Source organism: Homo sapiens, chromosome 13, assembly GCF_000001405.40.
Source record: "Homo sapiens chromosome 13, GRCh38.p14 Primary Assembly".
Taxonomy (NCBI): Eukaryota; Metazoa; Chordata; class Mammalia; order Primates; family Hominidae; genus Homo; species Homo sapiens.
Genome location: NC_000013.11, coordinates 23,741,456 through 23,768,305, shown reverse-complemented (window position 1 = coordinate 23,768,305; position 26,850 = coordinate 23,741,456). Strand labels below are relative to the sequence as shown.

The following is a 26,850-nucleotide window of genomic DNA, read 5'->3' as shown; positions in this document are numbered from 1 at the left end:
ACAGGTGTCATACATACACAACATGAATGTGGCATAGACATCAGTTTTGGTGTTAGTGATGTAAAATCAAGCCGGGTGTAAACTTGGCCTCCCCTTGCCTATCAAGCTAGCAGATAGAACCAGTGAGCTGGTAGCTTCATCAACATCTGGCATCTGGTGTTCACCTTTGAGTCCAAGGTGGTGATTCCAGTCTTCACCATTTCAAAGCTAGCAGGAAAGGAGAAAGAGGACAAGGAGGGCGAGTAGCTTCCTTTTGCAGAACCCAGCTGCACACGTCACCTTTACTCACAGCCATTTTCAAGAATATAGTCGCACAGCCACACGCCTCGGGGCATCTGGGAAATGCAGTCACTGCCACAGCAATCGAGAGTCCTGTTCACACTTAGCAAGAAAAGGGTATTATTCTGTTTCTAAAAGGAAAAAGGGGAAAATGAAGGAAGGAACACTTACTAATCTCTGCCAGTAGCCTTGGGCAAATCGCTCTTTTCAAGTCTATTTATAAAATATAAGCTAGTAAAATATTTACAAAAAAAAATTAAAAAATATTTACAAAGGGCCAGGCGTGGTGGCTCACACCTGTAATCCCAGCACTTTGGGAAGCCGAGGCAGGTAGATCACGAGGTCAGGAGTTCAAGACCAGCCTGGCCAACATAGTGAAACCCCGTCTCTACTAAAAATACAAAAAAATTAGCTGGGCATGGTGGCACGTGCCTGTAGTCCCAGCTACTTGGGAGGCTGAGGCAGGAGAATCGCTTGAACCTGGGAGGTGGAGGTTACAGTGAGCCGAGATCGTGCCACTGCACTCCAGCTTGGGCAACAGAGTGAGACTTCGTCTCAAAAAAAAAAAAAATTTACAAAGATACTGCCCTTCAAACATTTTCACAAAGACACAAGGTATATCTTTATATACCTTCCATATTTGCAGGCGTTTATTCTCAAAATAGTATTTTTAACCTAAGTCTCATTTAAAAAAATAGATATTGGTATTAGTTTTCAATTGCTGTATAAAAATTTCTACAAATGTAGTGGCTTAAAACAGTGCCTATCTCACAGTTGGTTTGGATCAGGAGTCAACACAGTGTAGCTGCTTGCTGTGCCTGGGGGTCACACAAGGCTGCAGGCAAGTTGCTGGCAGGGCTGCAGTCTCATCTGGGAGCTTGGCTGCATCACCCAGGTTATTGGCATAATTCATGTCCTACAGTTATAGCACTGAGGACAGGCTTCTTACCGGTTGGCTCTAGGCTACCCACAGGTCCTAGAGGGCCCCCCAGGTTCCAGGGTCCTCCCCCAGACCTCTGACAGTGGGCTTTCCCAACATGGTCACCTTCTTCCTCTAGCTAACAAGGAGTGTTCTAGAGTGAGCTTGCTAGCGAGATGGAGACATCATGGATAACACAATGTATTCACAGGAGTGACATCCGGAACCACTGCCATATTCAGTTGGTTAGGAGCAAGGAGCAGCTTCTGTCTATATTTAAGGCAGGGGATTCCACAAAGGTGTGACCATCAGGAGGATGGGTCATGGGGGCCTCCTGAGAGTGTGTCCACCACAATAACTGTTCCACTTAACAACACTTTATATTCCAAATGGAGAATTCCTGTCTGTTGGGCACTGTTATTTCATGGGTTTTGGTAAACTGTCAGTAGGGACTTTTTATCAGTTAGAAGCACTAGTCTCCAGTGATGCATGGAACATGCCCACACATTGAGAGAGTGAGTGAGAGAGAGAGAGAGAGCATGGATGTGTGAGGCAAATAGAAGGATATGTCCTCTGCTCTACATTGTGGTTAAATCGTTAAACACTTCTGGAGTATCTTTTTTAGCAGACCAGTGATATTGTACACAGAGAATGTGAGAACTCAAAATGGTCTTTCTATGAAGACGAGCTCAGGAACTTGCTTCTTCCTGCCTTGTTATCCTGATTACAACAGGTGCAAGTGTGAACAACAAGATTATATGAGCTCATACAGTATTACTAGCCCATTGTTTGTTTAGAGTCTCTAAGGCTTGAAGGAGATAACATACTCTAGGAAGCCCTACTCAGATTCTCTGCATGATCCAGACCTGGAGATGTGGTACCAAAATTAGCCTGAGAAACCTTACATCATCTATCAAATAATGTAGTCAAAGAACTATTTTTAAAAATCATTTACAGCCTAAGATCCAAATTTGTTTTTAACACCATAGTATCTTCTTATCTGCAAAACAGATATGGTAGATGCTCAAAAGAATCCGGCGAAGAAAAATACTTCTGAAATAATGAATAGGATTATTCCATATCAGAGGCCTTTTTGGATGGTTGTTGTGTGGTGGTCTTGAAATGTACTCTCTCAGACAGTGTCACATCATCATTGGTATATAGTCAATGTATTTAATATATTTCACTACCATTCTTACCCTAATACCACTCACTTCCCTAGTCGAAAATAAATTACTTAAATGAAACTGCCCTTGTAGTACAACCCAATACACCGGTCTTGTAAACCAGAAATATTATTCCTGGACTCTGCATCTCAGCCAGATGTCCAGTTGTCAGTAACATTGAATGTCATTGTGAAAGAATCCCATGGTGTCCATCTGTCCATCCATTCATTCAGCAGATTGCTGTCGAGTTCCCGTTGTGCTTCCAGTACTGCAGTAAGTCCAGACATGGGCACAATATGTAGGCCATGCCCTTGGGAAGTTTATAACACACATCAGAGCAATAGGTTGCATTTCTATACTCGTGGTTTATAGGGGTCCTCCGCTTATTCTCAAGGGATATGTTTCAAGGCCCCAGGTGGATGCCTGAAGCTACAGATAGTACTGAACTCTATATATACTATACATACATACCTATGATAAAGTGACATTTATAAATTAGGCACAGTAAGAGATTAACAGCAATAAGATAGGACAACTTATGTACTGTAATAAAAGTTTTATGAATGTGGTGTCTCCCTCTCTCAAAATATGTAATTATGGTACACCTGCCTATTTTTGGAGCGAAGTTGACCATAGGTAACTGAAACTGTGGATAGGAAAGCTGCTGTTACCTTTTCACTTGAGTTGGGAGGACTACTGTATAGTGACCCTCAGCATCTGTGGGGAATTGGTTCTAGGACCCACCCCCCGAGCATGGATACCAAAATCTGAGCATGTTCAAGTCCTGTGATTGGCCATGTGGAACCTGCAGACAGGAAAATTCAGCCCTCCATAGATGCAGGTTTCACATCCCTGAAATACTGTATTTCCCACCTGCGTTTGGTTGTGGTTGCAGAACCTGCCAATATGTATTCGACTGTATTCATTGAAAGAAATCCACATATAAGTGGATCCACTTGTGTTGTTCAAGAGTCAACTGTATAATGTTCCAGTGATAAAAATCATTTGAAAATAAATTTTAGCTAAAGCATTTCTACATTTATAGCTGGACATGAAGAAATGGTATACTATTTAAGAGTATAGTTGGCTGAGCACAGTGGCTAACACCTGTAATCCCAGCACTTGACAAGGTAAGCAGATCACTTGAGGCCAGGAGTTCAAAACTAGCCTGGGAAACAGAGAGAGACCCTCATCTCTACAAAAATTTTTTTTAAAAATTAGCCAATTATGGTGGTGCACACTTGTGGTCCCAGCTACTCAGGAGGCTGAGGTCTGAGGCTACTTGAGCCCAGGAGCTCCAGGTTACAGTGAGACATGCTCATGCCTCTGCACTCCAGCCTGAGTCACAGAGTGAGACCATGTCTCTAAAAAAATTTAAAAAGAGTATAATTGGGAGAAATGGTTAGTTCCGTTATTCCATATCTAGCACACAGTTACTGAGTGCTTGCTCTGCACTAGCCCCTGTTCTGTGTTTGAAACTGAAAATAGATAGTAAGTAAATGGCTCATTGCTACCTTTCCATTTCCGGCCCTGGAAAATCGTGGCATTAGAGTAGGGCTATAGGCAAGTAAAAATGATCAAAGAGCCTTCCATTCTCTGAAGTTCTAAAGCAAGTGACCATATCCATGGGTTTCCTGACAGGCTGCTTTGCTGGCTCCAAGTTTTGTCTTTCGTATGGGATCACTGAGATTATGTAACTCAAGGAAGGTTTAAATAGGCATGCCTTGGGACAGCAATAGGATTTGAAAATCTATGTCTCTCACCGTAATAAAAGGAAAACTACAAAGATGTTTGCATGGTTTGCTTTTGAAATCAGATCCACACGTTAAATATCCTGAAGGAAGTGTGAAAGCTTTTATCCATCTGACAAATATCCCTTAGGAAGAAGAAAACTTCAATTTAAAAGGAAGAGGATATCATAATTCCAGCGCTTAAGATGAAATGCTATATTTTATTTTTCCAGATGAATGAGTGAAATGGTAATAAGGACTTAATATTAGGTTGAATTAGCAGGAATTCAGCAATTGTGTTCAAACAACAGTGGAATTGTAGGTCTTAGCCACAGACTTGCAAACCTATGATGAAAGGTGTCAGGTGGAGATAATTTATTTAGCATGTCTTGAGGTGTAGTCCTGAACCCAAACCTGTAATTAAAGAGCAAGACACAACGGGGCATGTGTGTGCCAGAAGACCTGGATTCAGGCAGGGGGATCAGGATAAGGCAGACCCCTGGCTGTCTAGGAAATGATGCATGCACAAATCCTGATGTCTCTTTCTACCATTCTGAAAGGTCTTATTTTTATAACTCTGTTTATGGGGGATGTGGGAACTCAGTTATGAGCTGATGAAACCAGGGAACTTAAGACATTTCTTAGCTCAGATCAAATGCCACTATTGAAGTGGGCCTGCTTTCAAGATAAAACAAAGCTGTATTCAGCTTGAATCTAAACAGAATTAAACTCTGCTCTATACTGCAAAGGCTGCCAAACTAGTTCTGGCAAATCACCATGAAGAAAATGTTTCAAAGACAAAGCCCCTTAACTGTATGCTACAAATTCCGGGGCTTCCACCCTGAGAGACGCTTATCATCAGTAGTACAAGTGCTCGTATCTTGTTGGAGTATCAGATTAAAACAGCAGGCTGTATTCCATTACAGAAGATACCCTCACATCCAAACTGCTTCATACGAGAAAGGCTACCAGTGGTCCATGAGTTCTCATCATTTAGTAGATTAGGATTCCAGCATAAAAAGAAAAACTGACAAATACCCCTTTTAAATAAGACAGAGTACATTGGACTGTGTATATGTTGTAAACGAATTCTAAAAGCCTTTTGACTAAAAATGTAGTTATTCAAAGTTTGTTATACTAGAATTTAATTCATAGATGGTCCTAGTCTCTTTGCTTTCGTTTTAAATAGCACTTGCATCTTAATAGGATGAAAAGTACGTGTCTACCTTTCTCTGCCCTTCACTATGCTGGAGGGACCTTGCTGGCAAAAGACTGTGCAGGCCACATTTTGAGTGTCCAGCTCCTCCCACCTAGGGCACAGCTCTACCAAGGGCATGGCATCTGTTGCACCTCCAGCAGCCTCAGCCCCGCTGTTGGTTGTGTATTCATGGTACTGTTTGGGGGTGGCATTTGGGCCTGAAGTTGGGGTATCCTGTGAGGTAGGGATACAGGTCTAGTTGCTGTGCAAGAGACCCAAAACAATAGCCGTGCAAGTGCCCCTGCCCAGCACAGGAGGCGGCTGCCCCATTACAGGCCCACACTTCTGACTGGCTGCATCCCCAAGGAGGAAGGGGCATGGATCATTCCTTCAGGACACCACTCACAAGGCGCCCACCTGACTTCCAATCATATCTTCTTACAGAAAGAGGAGAACGGATGTGGAGGTGCAGTGTGTCTCTGAGGTGCTGCCCCCATGTCCTAAATTGATTGCAGTGCTCCTGCACACCTTCCTTATGACAGAGCCCTTGCCGAGCCCAAGCAAATTAGTTGTCTTGGAGAATCGGACATAACCAGAGAGTCACTAGCATTGCCATGCGTCTTTTAAGCCACTGTGTAGTGAATACAGGGAGTATGCTGCCACGTTCCTGTGATGAAGTAACCATATTTTTAAAAATGTTTCTTCCTTGATATGTTAACTAGAATTCACTTATCTAGTTTATAGAGTTGTAGCAAGGATTATACTTTGTTTATTCTTTATTTTCTGGGGAGTTAACAGCTTTGTTAAAGAGTGTTGTTATCATGGTTAAAAAAAAAGTTAAGCTTTTTAAAAAAGTTGTTTATTTATTTTTTAATTATTATTATTTTTTGAGACAGATTCTTGCTCTGTCGCCTAGGCTGGAGTGCAGTGGTGCGATCTTAGCTCACTACAACCTCCGCCTCCCGGGTTCAAGCAGTTCTCCTGCTTCAGCTTCCCAAGTAGCTGAGATTACAGACTTGTGCCGCCACGCCTGGCTAATTTTTGTATGTTTAGTAGAGACAGGGTTTCACCATGTTGGCCAGGCTGGTCTCGAATTCCTGGCCTCAAGTGACCCAGCTGCCTCAGCCTCCTGATGTGCTGGGATTACAGGCATGAGCCACTGTGCCCGGCCCAAGCTTCTGTTTTTTAAAAGAAATGTTTATGTCAGATAAAGACAGAAGAAAGTGGATGATTGCTGTGTCAGATTTGTTTCAGAAAAGTAAAAATGTTAAAGTCCTAAGTGTAGCCTTTGAGGACAGTTTTCATAGTCCCAGCCTTGGCTGGGGTGACGTTACAGCAGATATACCATCGCAAGCTCGTGTGCCGTGCTTGCATAGCCCTGCACCTGCTGATGAATTGGAATGGAGATGTTTTCCACTTTAGCAACAGAAAAAGAGCAGTATTCGTAGGAAAAGAAGTTTCCAGTGGAACTGTGTCCTTCCATGAAAATCCATGTGGCTTTTCCTATCATAACTACTACATTGTCCTGAGATAGAATGGATGCTCTCTCTCTGTGCCAGACTCCAAATTCTCTCCTCCAATGTTGATGACCAGGCGTTCCAAGTGGGTCAGAACAGATGTGCACCTCCACCCGGCTCCACCATTGGCACTCCTGCCACCGTCTCTAGGCTGTCTTTACGTTTCTGTCACAGAAGTGAATCCCAAAGTGATGAACTTGTACAAAACAATTAGGTGTCCGCTTCTTCCTTCTTATGATTAGAAAATAAGTGGAAGGAGCTTAGAGAAGGAGGGACAACAGTTTGTTCACCCTTCTTCCACTGAGAGGCAAGTTGCTGGTGGTTATCTTTGGTTCTTAGCGTTTGTCTCTTCTTAAAAAAAAAAAAAAAGAATGCATTCCCAGATTACCCCTCTTTGTATAGTAATGATTTTTAAATTCTGTCCCATTTTTCTTCTGCTCTGTGACTTTTTGTTTTGTCATAAAATGTAATTATGGTAAAAACATGGAAGGTTTTTGTGTTACAAAAACTAGTTCATGAAAAGCAGTTCATGCAACAGAGAATCATTGCAGAGTACAACTCTCTGAACTAACTAAATTATTAAAAATAAATAAACTCCTGACTTTACTGTTTTTGTAGATAGTCATGTGAAATAAAATGTATTATAATCAGTGTAATTAAACTCACTTAATGAAGAAGAATAGCCATATATTTGGAGCAAAACATATACATCTATATATGATTATATTTATGTGATACAAAATTTTCTTTGTGTATGTCTTAGTGTGCTAAGGCTGCCTTCACAAAATGCCAGAGACTATGTGGCTTAAACAACAGAAATTTACTTCCCACTGTTTTGGAGGCTGGAAGTCCAGACCAAGGTGTCAGCAGATCTGGCTTCTCCCGAGGCCTCTTTGGCTTGCAGACAGCCTTTCCTCTGTGCCCACACCCTGGCATCCACCTTTCCTCCTCTTCCAAGATACCAGTGAGTTTGGGCAAGGGCCCAGTCTAAGAGCTTCACTTTTACTTAATCACGTCTTTGGAGGCTGTGTCTCCTAATAAGTCACATTCTGAGGTATGGCTTTGGGTTTCAACATGTGAATTTTCAGGAGACACAGTTCAGCCCTAACAGTGTATAAAATGTGAAAATATTGATATCATAGGTGACGTAGCCTTCTAGGGTAAAATGCAAATGAAAGCATTTACGGGTCTCTCTGTGTCTCCACTGTGTTCTCACATGTGATATTCTCCAAGTGGAAACTGACTTGTGTCCCGTGCTGTGTCTCTCTGTTCTTGGCAGGCCTGGCAGCTGCGATTCAGCCACCTCGTGGGGTATGGTGCTAGATATTACTCTTACCTCATGTCCAGAGCGGTCGCCTCCATGGTTTGGAAGGAGTGTTTTCTACAGGATCCTTTCAACAGGTAAGGGGGTAAGTTCTAAAATGTCCCCATCTTGGACCACAGTAATTCCCCACTCTATTACATCTGGAAGTCGGGCTCGAGAACTGCAGCCCACATAACACAGCCAAACCTGGCAGAAAGTGGCAGGCTCCCCACACAGCCTCGCCCCACTTGGCCATTCCCACCCAAGCTTGCTCCTGCTTCCCGCAGCTGACCGGTGGCCCTGGACATCCCCCTACCCTGCAGCCACTGTGTAGAGGTGGCTGTGTGGTGTCTGAGGGAACCCTTGTATGAGGGCTCCTGTGCTACCTGAAGCAGCCCCTGCTGCTCCTGTGGGTTTTCTTGGCTTTTCTGACCTCACCACGTGATACGGGATGCCCACCCCTTTCCACAGAATGGAGGCAAAACAAGGCACTGGAGAGGCTGGGAGCATTGTCGGGAGGAAGTAGGGGTGCCTAGGATCAGTAGTCCTGCTTTCCCAATCTCTTTCTAAAGGCCAGGTAGTGGTTAAACTTCCATTGGGTGGAGAGGTACAGGAGATCCCTTGCTTCCTGGAGGGTGTGAGGGATTCTATGCTGTGGCTGGGGGATGCAGGGGATCCTGTGCTGTCTAGGGGGGTGTGGGGGATCCCGTCCCGTGCTGTCTTGGGGGTGTGGGGAATCCTGTGCTGTCTGGGGAGGTATGGGGATCTTGTGCTGGCTGAGGGGTTGCGGGGGATCCTGTGCTGTCTGGTGGGGGTGGGGTATCCCGTGCTGTCTGGAGAGGTGCGTGGGGGTCCTGTGCTGGGTGAAGGGTGCGAGGGTTCCCGTGCTGTCTGGGGAGGTGCAGAGGATCCCATGCTGGCTGGAGAGATGTAGGAGATCTTCCCTTTGCTCCCTGATTTGGCCTCCTGATCCTCCTAACAGGAATCCCTATAACAATAGGAACCAAGACGTTGTCAAGTTTGGGTCCTATGATTCCTTAGAAGGCTCTTTCTTTGAAAGAAAACCAGTAATTATAATCTGGTGTCAGAGTTGTTTATAGCATTTATCTTCTCACCACACAAATAACTACATCTCCAAATTCTTTTCAGGGAACTTTGGCTGATGAGTGCTATTTTTACTGCTTTATCTTGGTTTTTAGAGTGTCCTAGAGTTTTCACATAGTATTCACAGCAGTCTTGGCAGAAACCAGCACGTTTTATAAGAGAAAACTGAGGCTCAGAGAAAACAGTTTGTTCAGACTTCACCATTAAAAACTGGACTAAGACTATAATCTAGGTCTTCTCATTCCTGGTTTTTTCTCCCTCCCACCTCCACCTCACCCTCTCAGTCTGTCATACAATTTGACTTAGACTTGGATTTTTCTCAGCAGTTAATAATCACATTTGTTTCAAATTATTTGAGTCTGAATGTGATGTCATAGAATTTTTAAATATTTTGCAGCTTGGTACTCACATGTATTTTGTCTTCTGCCCTTTGCAGACTGTAGACATTTGGTCTGCTCTTCAGATTTTATTTTTAAAAGATCTTTAGCCAAACTTGACATCAGTAAATCAGTTTCAGGGATTATAACTTTTTACTGTAGATTTCTGTAAAATAGGCAAAATATCATCTTGTTTGAAGTATACTTTACTAGAAAAGTACATACTATAAAATATATACGTTTCTAAATATTTATATCTTGTTTATGTGTACATTCTTGCCTAGACATGTAGTTGCCATACTTTTATGGGCATGTTAAAGTAAGCTAGTAAAAATGCTCACTAGACTAGAAAATTTCTAACCTCTGTCAAAGTCTCCTTTTTGATCTCACTCCTGAGAAATAACCAGGCTGGAGCCTACATCAGAAAGCCAGGCATTGCAGAGCTGAGGCAAGCCAGGAGCTAGAGGCCTGTGGGGAGGGATTTGATTTAGGGTCAGGGCACTACATCCCATGGCTGAGAAGGGCCTCAGAGCACCCCAGGTCGGGAGTCAGGCAGGGCCCCTCAGCCACCCCTGCCCCTGAGGGGAGGCGCCACCTCAGTCCAGGCTTCCTGCTTCGCTTAGCACTCACTTCAGGATGTGACCAGGGCTAGTGTTTGATGTCAGCATGTTTTTGATACTGTAATGCTATCAAAAAGTCTGATTAAAGACCATGTTCACAAAATGACCCACATGTAAAGAGGCTCCAGAGCTTCTCAAATGGAAACAATATCAAAATTTATTTAACCTGTCTCATCATAGTATGTAGTCATGTATGTTAAAGGAATTGCATTTTTCATAAAATACAAAAGAGTAGTACTAAATAACTTGTTTCCAGGTCCCATTAGTTTGGAGGATTTATGTCTACAAAAATTATTCCAAACCTGCCTTCACATATTGTCATTAACAGCGTTCCTTGTGGAACTCCGTCAGGTAGGCATATCCAGGTGACACAGAGTACCAGAAGACGGGAACAAGGCAGCCTCCACTGTGCCTTTATCACCCGCACACTCCAGTGGAGTTTGCTGATCCGTTAACTGTTATCCTGAACCAAGGTTTTCTGGTGTAATTAACCTTTTCCTGCCAGCTTCTCTTCCTTCACTCTTGTTTTAGAGTGTTCTTTTTCTCTTCTTTATTAGGTGCCATCACAAATTATTTCTTAATGGTATAATTTCAAGCCTCATTTAAAATAATCACAAAACTATTTTTATAGAGAATAAAATGTAATATTTTACTTATTCTGTAACAGGAGTCCCCAACCCCCAGGCCACAGACTGGTACTGGGAACTGGGCCACACAGCAGGAGGTGTGGTGGGTGGGTGAGCAAGTGAAGCTTCATCTGTATTTGCAGCCGCTCCCCATCCATCTCCTGTTGAATTAGTGGCAGCATTAGATTCTCATAGGAGCAGGAACCCTACTGTGAACTGCGCATGTGATCCTTATGATCCTCTCACAAGGATCTAGGATGGGCACTCCTTATGAGACTCTGAGGCCTGATGATCTGTCACTGTCTCCCATCACCCCTGGATGGTACCATCTAGTTGTAGAAAAACAAGCTCAGGGCTCCCACTGATTCTACATTATGGTGAGTTGTATAATCATTTCACTATATATTACAATGTATAATGTAATAATAAAGTGCACCGTAAATGTAATGTTCTTGAATCATCCTGAAACCATCCCTCCCCCATCAACCCTCGTCTGTGGAAAAATTGTCTTTCACAAAACCAGTCCCTGGTGCCAGAAAGATTGGGGACAGCTATTGTATAATACATAAGTTAATTATTTTTATAAAGTGAGGTCTCTTGTTAACAGAACAGATAGCCAAAAGTATAGTTATCCTCTTACAGGGAATATGTCACACCTGATTTAATTTATTTTAGAACAATTTAAAAGCCAGAATTTGATTTTTAGAAGCAAGAAAATAGGGGCCAAATTGTCACATGGTGGCAGCTTTTATGAATATGGCATCAGTGTGGCTTTCTTTGAGAATTCAAGACAAGTGTGAATGGAGGCTGTGCAAGCAGGAGTCTGTAACAGAACCTCTCTTCCCCAGGGCTGCCGGGGAGCGCTATCGCAGGGAGATGCTGGCCCACGGTGGAGGCAGGGAGCCCATGCTCATGGTTGAAGGTAAAACAAAACCAAAATGGCACCATCTATAATGAAAGCTGATTTATGTTTTCTCCATATGTTTTTTTCATTTAAAGAAAATGTTTTAGGCCAGGTGTGGTGGTTCATGCCTGTAATCCCAGCACTTTGGGAGGCCCCAAGGAGGGTGGATCACCTGAGGTCAGGAGTTCGAGACCAGCCTGGCCAACATGGTGAAACCCTGTCTCTACTAAAAATACAAAAAATAGCTGGGCGTGGTGGCAGACGCCTGTAATCCCAGCTACTCGGGAGGCTGAGACAGGAGAATCACTTAAACCCAGGAGGCAGAGGTTGCAGTGAGCTGAAATCGTGCCATTGCACTCCAGCCTGGGCAACATGAGCAAAACTCCTTCTCAAAACAATAAATAAATAAGCAAATAAAAAAGAAATGTCTTAGCTGTGCATTGTGTTCTAAGCATCTGTCTCACTGTGTCCTAAGTAAATTAATTTTTAGTTGCCATGATTTATTCAAGTACCAGGATAAAGATTCAGGTTTTAGCTTTCAAAGTGTTACTTATACTCTAATAGAAAAATTTTTTATTTGTCATAAACTCTTAGAAAATTTTCCTTTAGATTTTAACAGGTCACAGTGTTTTTTTTTTAGTCTAAAGAACTCATTTATTTTTTATTCCTTTATTTCTTTTTCTGAAAGTTTAAAACTACATATTTTCAAGAAATTCCAAGGCATTGGGTTAGATTTGTTTTTTTACCTGTTGAAAAATTAGAACTTAATATCTTTAAGGTATTACAATTCTTTTTTTCTATGTAATTTTCTCAGTAATTTTTTATTTGAGTATTTTTACTGAAAATTTAATTGTAAATGGAAGTGATCATCATGATTTTTCATGTATGAATATAAGAACATTGAAACATGCTTACAAATATTTATAGGAAGATATGAATGTTACTAGATAATTGCAATATATTGATGGTTATATTTGCAGCTGAGCTTGACTATCTGAAAAGTTTTCTGGCTATCTGAAAAAGTGCATATAGGAAATAACTTTCAATATTGGAGAAGTGTTTTCATTGTAGTAATTGAGTGTGTCTGGGTAGTCATGAGTGTGATTTAAATGTCTCCTTGCCTAAGACTGTTGAATCTAATGCCTGTACTCCTTTTTAGCAGAATTCCAGATTCTTGCCTTCAGCCATTCATTTATTCAGCAAATATTTGTGCAGTGCCTTCAGCCATTCATTTATTCAGCAAATATTTGTGAAGTGCTAATTATGTGCCAGACATGATTCCATGTGCCAGAGGTGAAGTAGTGAAAGACGCTTAGACAAACATCCTGCTCTTTTGGAGACTGCATTCATTCCATCAGCTTTGTGAAGAGTGAGGAAGTGTGCATGCTGACACAGCCATCATTTACAGCTAGTCCTTACTGGTCCTTATTGAACTTTCCACCTCTGGGGATGGTTTTAGGGATTACCATGTATCTGTTGATTGACTCTTCTTAGTAACCCTATGAGGTAGGAGTTATGATCCCCGTTTTATAGACAATAAGCAGGTTAGGCCCTCTGCTTATGTAACAAGGCAGTATGTGGAAGAGCCAGGGATTGAACCAGGACCTCAGGCAGCAAGCAGACCAAGCTCTTCAGCTGCCTGTACTGTCAGACAGGACATCTAGTTCAGGGTCTGTTCCAGACCCAGGCAAAAGTGAAACAATAGGCACATCATAATAAGCTACTGATTGGGTACATTGTATACTTTTGGCTGGTGGTTGGTAGCGCCAGCCCACCCCGAGCTAAGGCGGAAATAAGCGGTGAGTTTCTGTGAGGTGTGTGTTCCTGGCAGCCGTGCTTGGCTCATCCTTTCCCAGGCCATGCTGCTACACCTCAACATTTGCTGATAGGAGATACCATCAAAAGAAAAAAATGTAAATCTTTTTCAGTGTTTATCTTTTGGCTGGTGTGCTTTTCTAGTCGGCTTCCCAGAATGTTGCAACTAACTCTCAAAAATTCTGTTCTTTATCCAAAACAATTTTGTGTTAAGAAACTTAATATTTTCTGCACTAAAATTCACATATGAGAGAAAAAGAAGTCCATCATTCAAACCAGAGATGATTAAGTATTCAGATTTTAGTTAACACAAACAATAGAACAATTCTACTTTTACATTTTAATATTTTTCTTAATGCTGTTCTGTCAGATCTCATTAATTCACATGATTTGTTTCATGTCAGAGATGAATGGGGGACATGCAAAGAGGGTTATGCCAGTTGTCACTTCATAGGGCTGGATTTGTAAGCTAAGACCCATAGTAGTGGCTTCTCATTTTCTTGGAGGCAGTCAGTCTGTACCCCAAAACAGCAGGTCTTAGGTGTTGGCTCACAGCCTTAACACTGGGGTATTACCAGGAGTGATGGGTGAAATTACTGAGATTTGTAATGTAAAAGCATACAGGATCTCGTTGGCAGTATTCTTCTATGAAAATGTAACTTTTTATAGGTACCTTATATATTTTTGTTTAACTGCTTCCTGGATAAATGTAAAGAATTATATTACATAGCAAAATGGAAAGAAATAGAACACCTGCCTTCAAACTATGTACCTCCCTAACCAAATCACAACTTTTTTTTACCTCCTTAGTTATAAGACTGTGTTTCTTAGGGTCAGAATACCTTTGTATTCATATTTGTGCTCTTTGAATGATACAAATTCAGAGAAGTCAAATAGGGAATGCTTTTGATCTTTGAATAATAAGTTCTACATAGGCAAACTTTTAGATTATTTGTCTTTTTCAGAATGAGTCATCCCTTGGGAACAGGGCTCTGCTCAGAGCTCTGAGTCCCTCGGCCATTTCTAGTCCTCACCAGCTAGAGGCCAACACCCTATTCAAGGAAGTCCCTGAGCACACAGGATTCCTCTACTTTCTTTTTTCCCTGATGTTTGCTTTACATTCATCAGTTAAAGGCCACTGCTAGGCAACCATGTATCTATGCTCTCTAACTCTTGGCTGCAAGGTATTTATTCAGAAGTTTTCCATTACTTAACTTTACATAGAGTGATCCTCACAGGAAAAAAGACAAGTTGCAGCAGCAGGGGCTTTCTTAAAAAGCCTAACACACCAAATACCATTTGAAGGCAACATAATAGTGGTTAAAACAGTATTTTCTTCCCCAGAGAAAGAAAGCAATCACATGGTGAAATAGAATTGGATTTGCAGTCAGTGACTCTGCTACTTACTGTCTATAAATTACTTAGGAAAGTCACTTAATTTCCTTGCGGGAGGTAAAATGTGATTTGACTTCAAAACACTTCTTTTTTTGTCTTATTATTATTATTATTTTTTTTTTTTTTTTTGAGATGGAGTCTCTACTGCCCAGGCTGGAGTGCAGTGGCACGATCTCCCCTCACTGCAACCTCCACCTCCTGGGTTTATGCACTTCTCCTGCCTCAGCCTCCTGAGTAGCTGGGACCACAGGCATGTGCCACCATGCCCAGCTAATTTTTGTATTTTTAGTAGAGACGGGATTTTGCCATGTTGGCCAGGCTGGTCTCGAACTCCTGACCTCAGGTGATCCACCCTCCTTGGTCTCCCAAAGTGCTGGGGTTACAGGCCTGAGCCACCTTGCCTGGCCCAAAGCACTTCTTTTTAATCTGCTTCTCCTTTTTTTAATCTCTGAAGGGGGTGGGGTGTGTGTACAGACGTGTGGCAGTAGCTTTGCAGATTGACAGTATGGCCTTGTCTATTTTTAAACACATTCATAGCTTACATAAATATATATATTATAGGCATGACATTCAGTCACTTAATCCTCCACTAAACACATGTGGCAATACCTGACTGAAACCAACTTTCTTAATTGCTGAGACATCTGGGGTGAGGTTTAACTCTCATTGTCAATGTTAAGGTTTTCTGCTGTTCATCTCATACCCCCACAATGGTTTTTGGCTTATGTTAAATCACATTTCTGAGTAATAAGATAACTTAAGGTTTTTGCTTAAAATAAACCATGATGATATGGCATTTCCATTCATTTTACCATTTTATAAAATATATACTAGAATATTTGTTAAGTATGCTATGGTGAGCATGATCTAAGGTTCAGTTTCCATTACAGCCACTTCAGAAAATGTGCAGTTTTCTAAAAAGACAGATATGCTGAGGCTTGTGAATAGCAAGGAAGTAATACTTTGCCCCCACTAGGAAGCAGAATTGTTTCTTACTACAGCAAATAGACTGGTAGAATTATATAGATATTAGGAATGGAAACTATATTACTTCAGCAGTTTGTGAATGGCAATTGTATTACTCATGCAAGTTTTCATATTGCCCTCTGTAAACTATTTGGTCTTTTTGTGTTTTATGTTATGTAAAATTTTTAGGTAAATCCCTCTTACTGAGTTTTTAGGTTCAGATTTTACTTATCCTCTGATAAGTTTAATCCCCTATAACACAGGTCATATTGTCCCTATTTTTATAAATAATGAAACTTTGTCAGTGTTCATACCCTCTGTGCTGCCTTGCCCACATTTTTCTCTGTTGATCCTTACATTCTGACATGAAAGTGACCTGGCCTTTAGAAGGCAAGAGATGTAAGCAATGTGGGTCTTGGGCCCTGATGGTTCTCTTAACGATCTCCAAGTTTTTTTTTTTTTAATGTCGCAACCTATCTATTCTCATTGACATTGGAGAGACCTGCCTGACATCCACTGATCAACAATAAAATCTTCCTCTTCCTGTGAGCTCCTTTAGACTTTTGTGGCAAAGCTGTCAATTTAGTTTATAACCATTTTTAGCCATGGGGGTCCTGATGGAAAGATTCTCCCCACAGCCATGTAAGCAGGACATGGCCCAGTTAGTTTTGGGTTCTGCCTCTGGTTACAGAATTCCTTATGCTCTCTTTCTTCAACTCTTCCGCAAAGAATCTGAGGGGAGGGGAAGGGAAAGGATAAAGTCCAAGATTTTAGCATTCCAGGAGGTTATTTGTAAATATTAAACAACTTTATTTCCATGCTCCTTTCTAATCAGAATCTCTCTGGCCAAAAGCAGTATGCAAGTAGAGATACTAAATAATAACTTTATGGAGTTTTTCAAATGGACCAAACATCAGATCAGATGGAAAGAAATAGTAGTAGCTAAATGAGTCAATTCTCAACAAACTGAAACTCGATTTTGTTTGTTTTTTCGCATCAGACTGACTCACCAAACCAAAGTCTAGAAGCCCGCAGGGCCTTACCTTAAGCTGATTAAAATATAATACCTTACGTTTCTGTAGAGCTTTATTTATAGTCTGCCAAACACACTCGCTTTTGCCATATTATCCTATATCATCTCTTCTAGCTTATTAAATTTTTTTTGTTTAAGAAACAAACCAGAGAATTATGGTTTATACTCCAAAGAATCACCTCCATGCTCCAAGAAGATTAATGCAAACAATGAAGATATCTATCTACTAGTTTCTTTAAAAACAGTTCTCAGTTCCAGCAGCACGGAGCACATCAGCACCCAGAAATTGGGTTTACACCATTCTCCAGTAAGAGGAACCAAGGCTCCTTGGAGAAATGGCTGATTCCAGGGCTGGAACAAGGAAGACAGAAGATGAGCATGAAGCATCTTATAGTGCCAGAAAGGAAGGAAGTGCCCAGAAACACACACAGTGATGGGCGCATGTGTCATCGCAGCAGGGGCCCACTGAAAGAGCTCCCAGTGCCCCAACCTGGGCCAACTCCAGCAGCCAAATAAATCACAGTCTTGGGATGTGATACAAAGTATTAAATACATATCCATGAGTCCATATTGATATAAATGATTAAATGAATAGAATAGAATAATCTCCCATAGAGAAGAGTTCCAAGTAATTTATGTACATACTCCCCACCTTAGGGAAGTGGAACATAACTCCCCACTCATTATGTGGGCAGTGCAGAGTGAGTTCCGTCCAGAGCACTCTAGAGACAGCGGGGGAAATGACAAATACGACCTCAGTCAGATGATCAAGGTCAGCATCAGTGATGCGTCATGTGGACAGTATGCATCCTTGATATAATATGATGGGAAGTTTTCCTCCCAGAAACCCATAACCCCAGTCTCATAATGAGAAAAATGCCAGACACACCAAATTCAGGACATTCTGCAAACTGCCTAAGCAGTACTCCTCAAAACTGTCAAGGTCATTGAAAACGAAGTCTGAGAAGCTGACACAGTCTAGAGGAGCCTAAGGAGACACGGCAGCTACATGTAGTATGGTCCCCTGGTTGGTCCTGGAACAGAAAAAAGACAGCTAGTTTTGATCGTACCAGGGCAATCTGACTAAAGTGTAGCTGGAGCTAACAATATTCTGTCAATACTGGTTTGTGAGTTGTGACAGATGTGCCACATGATGAAAGATATTAATGATAGGGGAAACTGGCTGAGTGTGGAGTGTGGAGGAACTCTCTTGACTCCATCACAGTTTTTCAGTAAATATAAAACTATCCTGAAATTTAAAATTTAATTAAAAACAAAGAACCTCCTTGGGAAGGTTTTTAGCAGTGACACCACTGCTCATGGTTTGGTCCACACCTTGACTCCACCATGTTTCCCTTCTTCCCAGCAGCCTTTTCATTGCCACTTGGGGGAGGGAGGGGCACGGAGGTGAGATTGAAAGAGGAGTATTAGGCACAAAATGAGGCTGGAAGGTAAGTGGGCGTCAGGTCGGGCAGGGCATTGTGGATACTGTGAAAGAGAGTTGGTGTTTATTCTGAGGACTATGAGAAACCAATTACAGTATTTTTAAGGCAGGTAGTGCCAAGATCAGTTTTATGTTGGCATGGAGGAGGGTGAGTGTGATATCAAGGATGACTCCCAAGCTCCGTGCTTCAGTTGTTATAGAGATGGTTGCATGGTTATGACTGTCACGGGGGACAGAAATCAAGAAGCCCTTATGCAATTCGGCCACTGCGAGAATTCAGCTCAGGAAGCTCCCAAGCCTGTCGGATTCAGTTTCTGAGTGACTGCGAAGGACTCTGTACAGAATGGGCTGGAGAAAGCTCTTTGCCCATACAGTTCTGATGATGGGAAACTCACTTTTTCACAAGGAAACTCACTTCAGTTTCAGACAGCTCTGACTGACAGGATGACACGTTTATTCAAATTGACCCAAAATATTTAGTCCACTTGAAAGTTTGATGTCTTGTGACACAGCAGCTTAAATAATAAGCGTTGATGCCTTTTTTTTAAAATAACCTGATTACTAACCTAGTAGGCAAAACATGCTTAGTGCAAGGCTTTGCTATTGGTGTTATTTGCACAATACAAACATCACGACAATCGAGGAGCAATAAGTCCTGTCTGTCAGCAGGAGTACTGCTGACATTTAAAATAAGAAAGCTAAATAAACAGTCATTGTTCAGCAATAGCTTGATTAATTTCCCTGTTGTCAAAAGGTATACACAGATACTGAAACAGAAAAGGCGTTTTACATTGTCTTATAGCACTGAAAATTAGTAGTAGTTAATACTTCTAGTTTTAAAGCATGCAGTTAGCATTTATGTAATCTGATCAATCTCTAAATATTGGCATTGTGTGGCAAGGCTGGTGTGCCCAGCACTGTAGGAGAACAGTAAATGCACACTACCTCTGGATGGTTATTCCTAAATTTATTTTTTAGGTGTCTTTGCTTTTTATTTTTTTAATAAGGGATTTCAAGGGAAAGATAAGCCTTAACGCCTGACAGGTTCTGCCTGACTGAGCCAGCAGCATCTGTGCCTCCAGGTATGTGGAGGCGCAGCATAAATAAATGCCAGAACGTGCTCAAAGCACCAGCCTTGGCTTGGGATAAGTGCCCACCCCAGGGTGTGTTTTACATTTGTGAGGGACTTAGGAGGAAGGAAATGTGTTTTACATTTGTGAGGGACTTAGGAGGGACTTAGGAGGAAACCCCTTCACACAGATACATTAAATATTAAAAGATAAGATGATTTAAAACTACTAGCATGCCAAGTAAAACTTTGCTGTTGGAAGTAAATCATTCTGATGAATTTTGATGGGTTGTTTAAACATTTATGAATAGAGTCTCTTCGTTTCCCCTGTAGTCAGACATTCTCTACCCCCTTACTCTGCTTTGTTTTTGCTTCATAGCACATATTAACATTTACTTCCTAATTTCAACATGTATTATTTCATTTATTGGTTTATGGTCTCTGCCCCTCAATAAAGTCTAAGCTCTGTGATAGGAGGGCAACTGACTGTCATGTTCACAGCTGTATCTGCAGCCCCTGTTACAGGGCTCAGCCCATCGGCATTCAATAAATATTTGTGCAATGAGTGAATACACGAATACCAAAATAGACTTAAAAGAGCAATTGTTTCCTGTGCTGTAGAAAAGTTGTGATTTAGCTGGGTGTGGTGGCATGCACCTGTAGTCACAGCTACTTGGGAGGCTGAGGCAGGAAAATTGCTTATACCTGGGAGTCGGAGGTTGCAGTGAGCCAAGATCACACCACTGCACTCACTCCAGCCTGGGTAACAGAAGGAGACTCCAGCTCAAAACAAAACAAAACAGGCCAGGCACAGTGGCTCATGCCTGTAATACCAGCACTTTGGGAAGCCGAGGCGGGCTGATCACAAGGTCAGGAGTTCGAGACCAGCCTGGCCAACATAGTGAAACTCCTTCTCTACTAAAAATACAAAAATTAGCTGGGCATGGTGGCATACGCCGGTAGTCCCAGCTAGTCAGGAGTCTGAGGCAGGAGAATCACTTGAACCCGGGAGGCAGAGGTTGTGGTGAGCCGAAATCACACCACTGCACTCCAGTGCGGGCAACAGAGCGAGACCCCGTCTCAACAACAACAACAACAAAAAGTTGTGATGATTACAATGGGAACAGGTTTTTATTTGCCTGGTTCAGGAATTTTTTTTATCACATGAATATTTTTGGATATTTTACAGGCTAAATATTTTCGTGAAGTTCTTTAATCATGTAAAAGAAAAAAAATATATAGCCATTGTGCTGTCTCCACACTTGTTCAGTCTCTCAGCTGTTCTCTTACTCCTATCCTGCCCTTCCTCCTTCCTGTCACGGTGTTTTAGACACTTTTTGTTCTAGTACAGTGCTTGGTTCTGCCCACTGGACGAGTACTGACTGTTAAGCAGCTAGATAGCAGGCATAATAAGTAGGGGACACCACTAGAAGAAAGGGGGTCCGCTATCCATTCCCAAATAGGTCCTTACTGGCCAGAGTCAAGCACCTCTTCATAAGCCCTGGGCATCAAGAGATCCCGCCTAAATGATTTCAGATAGTACTCTGTTTAAGCAGCATGCAGGAAGGAGATTCTCCATGCAGGAAAGGCAAAGGGACAATGACAGAGTGAAAATGTGCCAGGTGGGTCATGGGCAGCATCTTTAATCCACCAAACACTGCTCTGGTGGGTCGTGTCATCTCCACTTCCCATGTATGGAAGCAAAGGTCTTGTTTCAGAGCCATTCTCTGGCATAGTCAGGAGTCGGTCACACTCTTTTGCCTCCAGAGCCCCTGCTGCCCCACAGCACTCCTCGACACCTCTTAGCCATAGACTCTTGATTACTGTCTTCTTCAACTTCTGTTTTGTCACCGTTACTTTTGGTGGGTAGTGCTTGTTTTGACAGTTTTCTCTAATAGTAAGCTATCATCTACTTTCTGTATAAATTTGATGGGTCCCTCTTCCATTTTGAGATACGTCCAGAGGTTGACTTTGAGGTCTGAGAGGTTTTTCTTCCTCAAGTAAATATCTTGTAGTAGATTCATTCCAAAAAATATACTAATGATTCCATTTTTAGATGATGTCAGTGTATACTACCTTCTAAAAGGAATGTAGGTAACGTTCTCTCAGTGCTTTGAGTGCTGAATGGAAACATCATAAGATGTTTTTGAAGATGGTCATTTGTTATAGATGGTGTTCCTTTTTTTAATTTTTTTTTTTTTTTTTTTGAGAGGGAGTCTCTCTCTCTCACCCAGGGTGGAGTGCAGTGAGGTGATCTCAGCTCACTACAACCTCTGCCTCCTTGGTTCAAGTGATTCTCATGCCTCAGCCTCCTGAGTAGCTGGGATTACAGGCGTGTGCCACCATGCCTGGCTAATTTTTGTATTTTTGGCAGAGACGGGGTTTTGCCATGTTGGCCAGGCTGGTCTCCAACTCCTGACCTCAAGTGATTCACCTGCCCCAGCCTCCCAAAGTGCTGAGATTACAGGCGTGAACCACTGCACTCTGCCTATAGATGGTGTTCTTAACTTATGGTTAAAACTGTTCTGGCCTGGTGCCATGGCTCATGCCTATAATCCCAGCACTTTGGGAGGCTGAGATGGGTGGATCACCTGAGGTCCGGAGTTCAAGACCAGCCTGGCCAACATGGTGAAACTCCATCTGTACTAAAAATACAGAAATTTGCTGGCTGTGGTCCATGTACGTATAGCCCCAGCTACTCGGGAGGCTGAGGCAGGAGAATCACTTGAACCTGGGAGGCAGATGTTGCAGTGAGCCAAGATTGTGCCGTTACACTCCAGCCTGGGTGACAAGAGTGAAACGCTGTCTCAAAAAAAAAAAAAAAAGTGTGCTGAGTGGGCTAAACACAGGTTACAGAAGCAGATGTTGTATCCCCAAACGTCTGGTTCTAGGTTTTGTTTTGTTTTGTTTTGAGACATAGTCTTGCTCTGTCATCCAGGCTGGAGCTCAGTGGCACAATCTCGGCTCACTGCAAACTCTGCCACCCAGGTTCAAGCGATTCTCCTGCCTCAGCCTCCTGACTGTAGCTGGGATTACGGGCGCCCACCACCACACTTCGCTAATTTTTTTATTTTTCGCAGAGATGGGCTTTCACCATGTTGGCCAGGCTGGTCTCGAACTCCTGACCTCAAGTGATCCGCCCGCCTCGGCCTCCCAGAGTGCCAGTGTTACAGACATGAGCCACTGCACCTGGTCTGGATCTAGATTCTTAACTTTCCTGCGTGACACCCTCAGGCATCAAGCTTCAAGGGCTGAGGAAATCACAAGTTGGCAATACACTGATGAATTTACATTTGGAAGGAGTACCAGTAAAAAGTTAAATTATAGTAATAATTATAGAGATTTAGAGCAGATTTTAGTTGAAGAATTGAAATTGACATTTGCTAGCCAACTCTTTTATGAAATGTTGCTAGAGGATGTAGGAACAAGATTTCTCTTGGTTTAACTGGACTGTTTCCTGAAAGAGCATTTACAAGACATCTTCTGGTGTTTGTTTATGTCTTTTTCAACTAAATGTAAAAGAAACTTTTTCTTTATGACTATGATGTAACATTATTAATAATGAAATTAGATTAAGAAATTATACCTATACCTGATTTTCTTTTACATTTAATAGTTTATCTTTACATTAAAGTTTCTCTTATTGAATAGTCCCTGGTTAATTGTAGAGTTTGCACATCTCAAATATCTGAATAGCATTATCAAGTTATTTTTGTGACCCATCACATAAGTTAGAGTATGTCAGGTAACACACAGTTTCTTTACTCTCTTTCCATTCGGTACTAAATGTATGTTTTGTTTAAGCTTTAGGGTCAGGAGGAAGGCCAACCTGTACTTAAATTTCCCTTTCTAGCAGTTTAAATAAAACTGAGCTTTAACAAAATTCTTAAAAGCTTAAGTCACACACTCAAAATAGTGGAATTTCAACACTAGATTTATTTTTGTCTTCCTTTTGATGCACGTGCATTCCACATTAGGATAGACATTTTATTTAAATGCTTCCATAGCCTGTGTATTGATTTTCTAAAGATAAGTAATCCTTCATGTCAAATACTTTCAATAAAACTAATTTCTGCTACTTGTATATTGCCAGCATTGAATGGCTAGGAGGGAGTCATAAAAGTTTAATCAAACCAAGCATACATTTGTTATTTTATTGTTCATTGTTACAATAGTGACAGCAATAACACTAAGTACAGCTAAAAGCATTTGTTGAGTGTATTTGATGTGCCAAGTACTATGCATGTTGCTGTATGATCTCATTTAATTCTCTAAACAGTCCAAGGGATGCATAAGTAACTTATTTGCCTGAGATCACCTAGTAGCAGACATTAGAACTAGGATTCAGAGTCAGGTACTCTGACTCACCTGTGTGGGCTGGTAATTTCTTCAACTTCTTTCTCATTATACCAGGAAGTTTTTGCTTTGAAATATGTGCATGCATATTCCACTGTATTTTTTTTCCCTTGCTCTTTCATAATTTTTGGCAACTGAGTTGCCTTGTTGGGAATACAGTGATGCTCAAAGAAGATATTATTGGGTTATCAGAGTAAGATATCATGGGGACAAATCTGAAAAGTGGCATGTGCCAACTAGTATGCTAACTAGTAGCTAATATATATACTAGTATGTAATTGCCTTACCTACAGTAAAATGATTTTGTAGGAAAATAAGATTTGTTGAATGTAAAGGCATGAACGCACAGCGTACAAAGCAAGATTTGGAACTTTACAGGATGTTCATTGGCAGAAAGCTGCTTTTCTTGCACAGCGTAGCAGGAATAAATGAGGAAAGCATGTTACGGAATCAGAGTTACAATTTAGTTAGCTCTAGGATTATGACACAATTTCAATAATAGAGGCAGCCCAGAATAATAGCCAAGTAAATAGAATCCCTAATCTTTGGCTTGTTCATATATTTACCCAACGTAGCCTCTGAAATCGCTGAAAGCTTTTTGGAAGAAAGAAATGGAAAGGAGCACCTGCGTTCTCAAGGCTAAGACCTCCCTTTTGTAAATGCACTAATATTTTAAGAGGGTGTGTGCGTGTTTAATGTGTGGGTGTGTTTGTTTAAGGAAGACACTGAGCTTCAAAAGGCAAGATGTTTTGTAACCCAGAAATGTAATTGTAAATGGAATTATTAAATCTGACAATGAAATTAAAATAAACTAATGTGTAAACAGGGCACATATGTGGGGCTGTACTTGCTGGCTCAACTTCTGTCTAACACAGGTTCAGAGGCTTCACTTCAGTTAATAATTCTAGAGAGACAGAGAGAGCCTCATATGTGAATGCCGACAGATACCAATCCAGCACAGGGAGCAGCAGAGTCTTTTTAGTTCAAAGGAAGAGAAGAATTTCACTTCCTGGCCGATAGTCTGATTTTCTCAAGAACTGATTGTAGATAGAGGGAATCCACCTTTAGCAAAGGGTGTGGGTAACCACAGTCTTGTAGCAGAGAAAAACTTCAAAGTCAAGATGGTGAGCCATACAGTTGCCCTAGGCTTGGGAGAGACAGATCTGGAATGAGGATTCTGATCTCATAAAATTCACTTAAGATTTTTCAAACTGCCAGGCTAGCCTTTGTAGCTACAATTCTTAATCAGTAGGCTGAGTTTGGCACATATAATTATTTCAGCAGAAAAAAGAGCCATTAAACTATTATGATGAATTATTAGAATTGGTAATGGTGCTGAGAATACTCAAACCTCCTTTTCACTCCCAAATCTGTTTAGATAATCTGCTTTTTGGTACATCCAAGTTATTGTTATGTCTAGTAATGGAGGACGGCATAGCACAGACAGCTGTATATTTGAGTGAATCGCAGGTTCTAAAAAGAGATTTCTGATCTCTTTTTAAAATTGTGGTAAAATATACATGCCATACCATTTGCCATTTTAACCATTTTTAAATGTATAGTTCCAAGCCATTCACAATGTCCTACACTTACAATGCTGTGGAGCCATCACCAGTATCCATTTTCAGAACTTCCCCATCACCCCAGTGAAGACCCTTTATCACAGAAGTCAACAGGTAGAAAAATGGATTTATTTTAATTCCATCTTTTATTTCTTTTAGTAGATAAACAGTTACCTAATAAGCAGATGGCAAAAAGTAGAAAAAAGCTGTGATTTATGAGCTGGATAAGTAGCTTGTGATTGTGAGTTTTATGATAGTTTTATGATATTTAATCACAGATCAATGTTTTGGAATTGAACTTGTGCAAAAATAGTAAGCAACCTCCTCCTTCAACTCTTGAACTAGGAAGCAGGTTTTCATAAATCTTCGGGTCTGATTATTATAGTGAGTTACTGAGCATTTCTGTGTGTTAAATGCTGTATCTTATTTAATCCTTATTAACAATCTAGCAAAGTAGATGACATTGTGCCAGTTTTATGAACTTCAAACATTATACTAAACTCCAACATTTTACTTTTACTTAGATTTCCTCCAGCAGGGGTTAAGTGATTAGTCTGAGGTCCTTACCCAGTTGTTTAACCCAGGGTAATCTCTTACTAAACCCTTGCTCTAACCATCAGGATATATTGCCTTCTTTCGAGCCACCTAAAGTTTTATTTAGAAAATGAAAAAGGTATTTTTTTCTCTCTATTCTTTCTTGGCACCCCTTCAAAGGAAAACTTTTGTATAGTCAGAAGAGAAATAGCCTGAAATTTCAAATAATAAGATACCATGCGGAACCAGATAATGTTCCATTCAGCCCCAAATTCACACCAGCACAGTGCCCCTGAGGCTGTTGGTGGAACTGCATTCGAATAGCTGCTCTGCTGACCAGCAAGGCCCCACGGGGCTATTGTCCTGTAGGGGGTCCTCAGGACATTTTCTTTTTTGGAGCCTGAGGCTCTTTTTTTGGTCCACCAGACTGTTCCTAACTGATACTTATAGGCCTTAAATAGAAATCTGGCTAATGGAACTTAATTAATTAATTTCTACTAAGTCCAGTGCTGTGGCTGAAATGTAAGAATATGACTAGCTTTTAACTTTTATTTTTTTTTTTTAAATTTTTTTTCTAGGTTCGGTGTACATGTGCAGGTTTGTTATATAGGTAAACTTGTGTCATGGGGGCTTTTTGTACAAATTATATTATCACCCAGGTACTAAGCCTAGTACCCAATAGTTATTTTTTTTTGCTCTCCCTCCTCCCATGCTCCACACTCACATAGGCGTCAGCGTGTGTTGTTCCCCTCTGTGTCCATGTGTTCTCATTATTTAGCTCCCACTTATAAATAAGAACATGCAGTAATTGGTTTTCTGTTCTTGTGTTAGTTTGCTAAGGATAATGGCCTCCAACTCCATCCAGGTTTCTGCAAAAGATGTGATCTCATTTTTTTATAGCTACATAGTATTCCTTGGTGTGTATGTACCACA

At 41.3% G+C, this 26,850-nt stretch overlaps 1 protein-coding gene and 1 pseudogene across 2 annotated transcripts in view, besides 2 other annotated features; both read left to right on the top strand.

Annotated features, from left to right (window-relative positions):
- Positions 1-26,850, top strand: part of MIPEP (mitochondrial intermediate peptidase) — a 159,212-nt gene that overhangs the window by 121,095 nt on the left and 11,267 nt on the right. For both annotated transcript variants that reach the window (NM_005932.4, XM_011535097.3), the window contains exons 17-18: positions 8,089-8,210; positions 11,688-11,761. In NM_005932.4, coding sequence (NP_005923.3) covers positions 8,089-8,210; positions 11,688-11,761 — 196 coding nt within the window. The remainder of the gene's footprint in view (positions 1-8,088; positions 8,211-11,687; positions 11,762-26,850) is intronic.
- Positions 2,202-2,372, top strand: MTCO3P2 (MT-CO3 pseudogene 2; annotated as a pseudogene).
- Positions 15,158-15,267: an enhancer, noted in NCBI's record as "active region_7462". NCBI's record gives its function as "activates an Ori minimal core promoter by ATAC-STARR-seq in GM12878 lymphoblastoid cells {active_cell/tissue: GM12878}" and the evidence as "EXISTENCE:reporter gene assay evidence [ECO:0000049][PMID:35858748]".
- Positions 18,844-18,893: an enhancer, noted in NCBI's record as "active region_7461". NCBI's record gives its function as "activates an Ori minimal core promoter by ATAC-STARR-seq in GM12878 lymphoblastoid cells {active_cell/tissue: GM12878}" and the evidence as "EXISTENCE:reporter gene assay evidence [ECO:0000049][PMID:35858748]".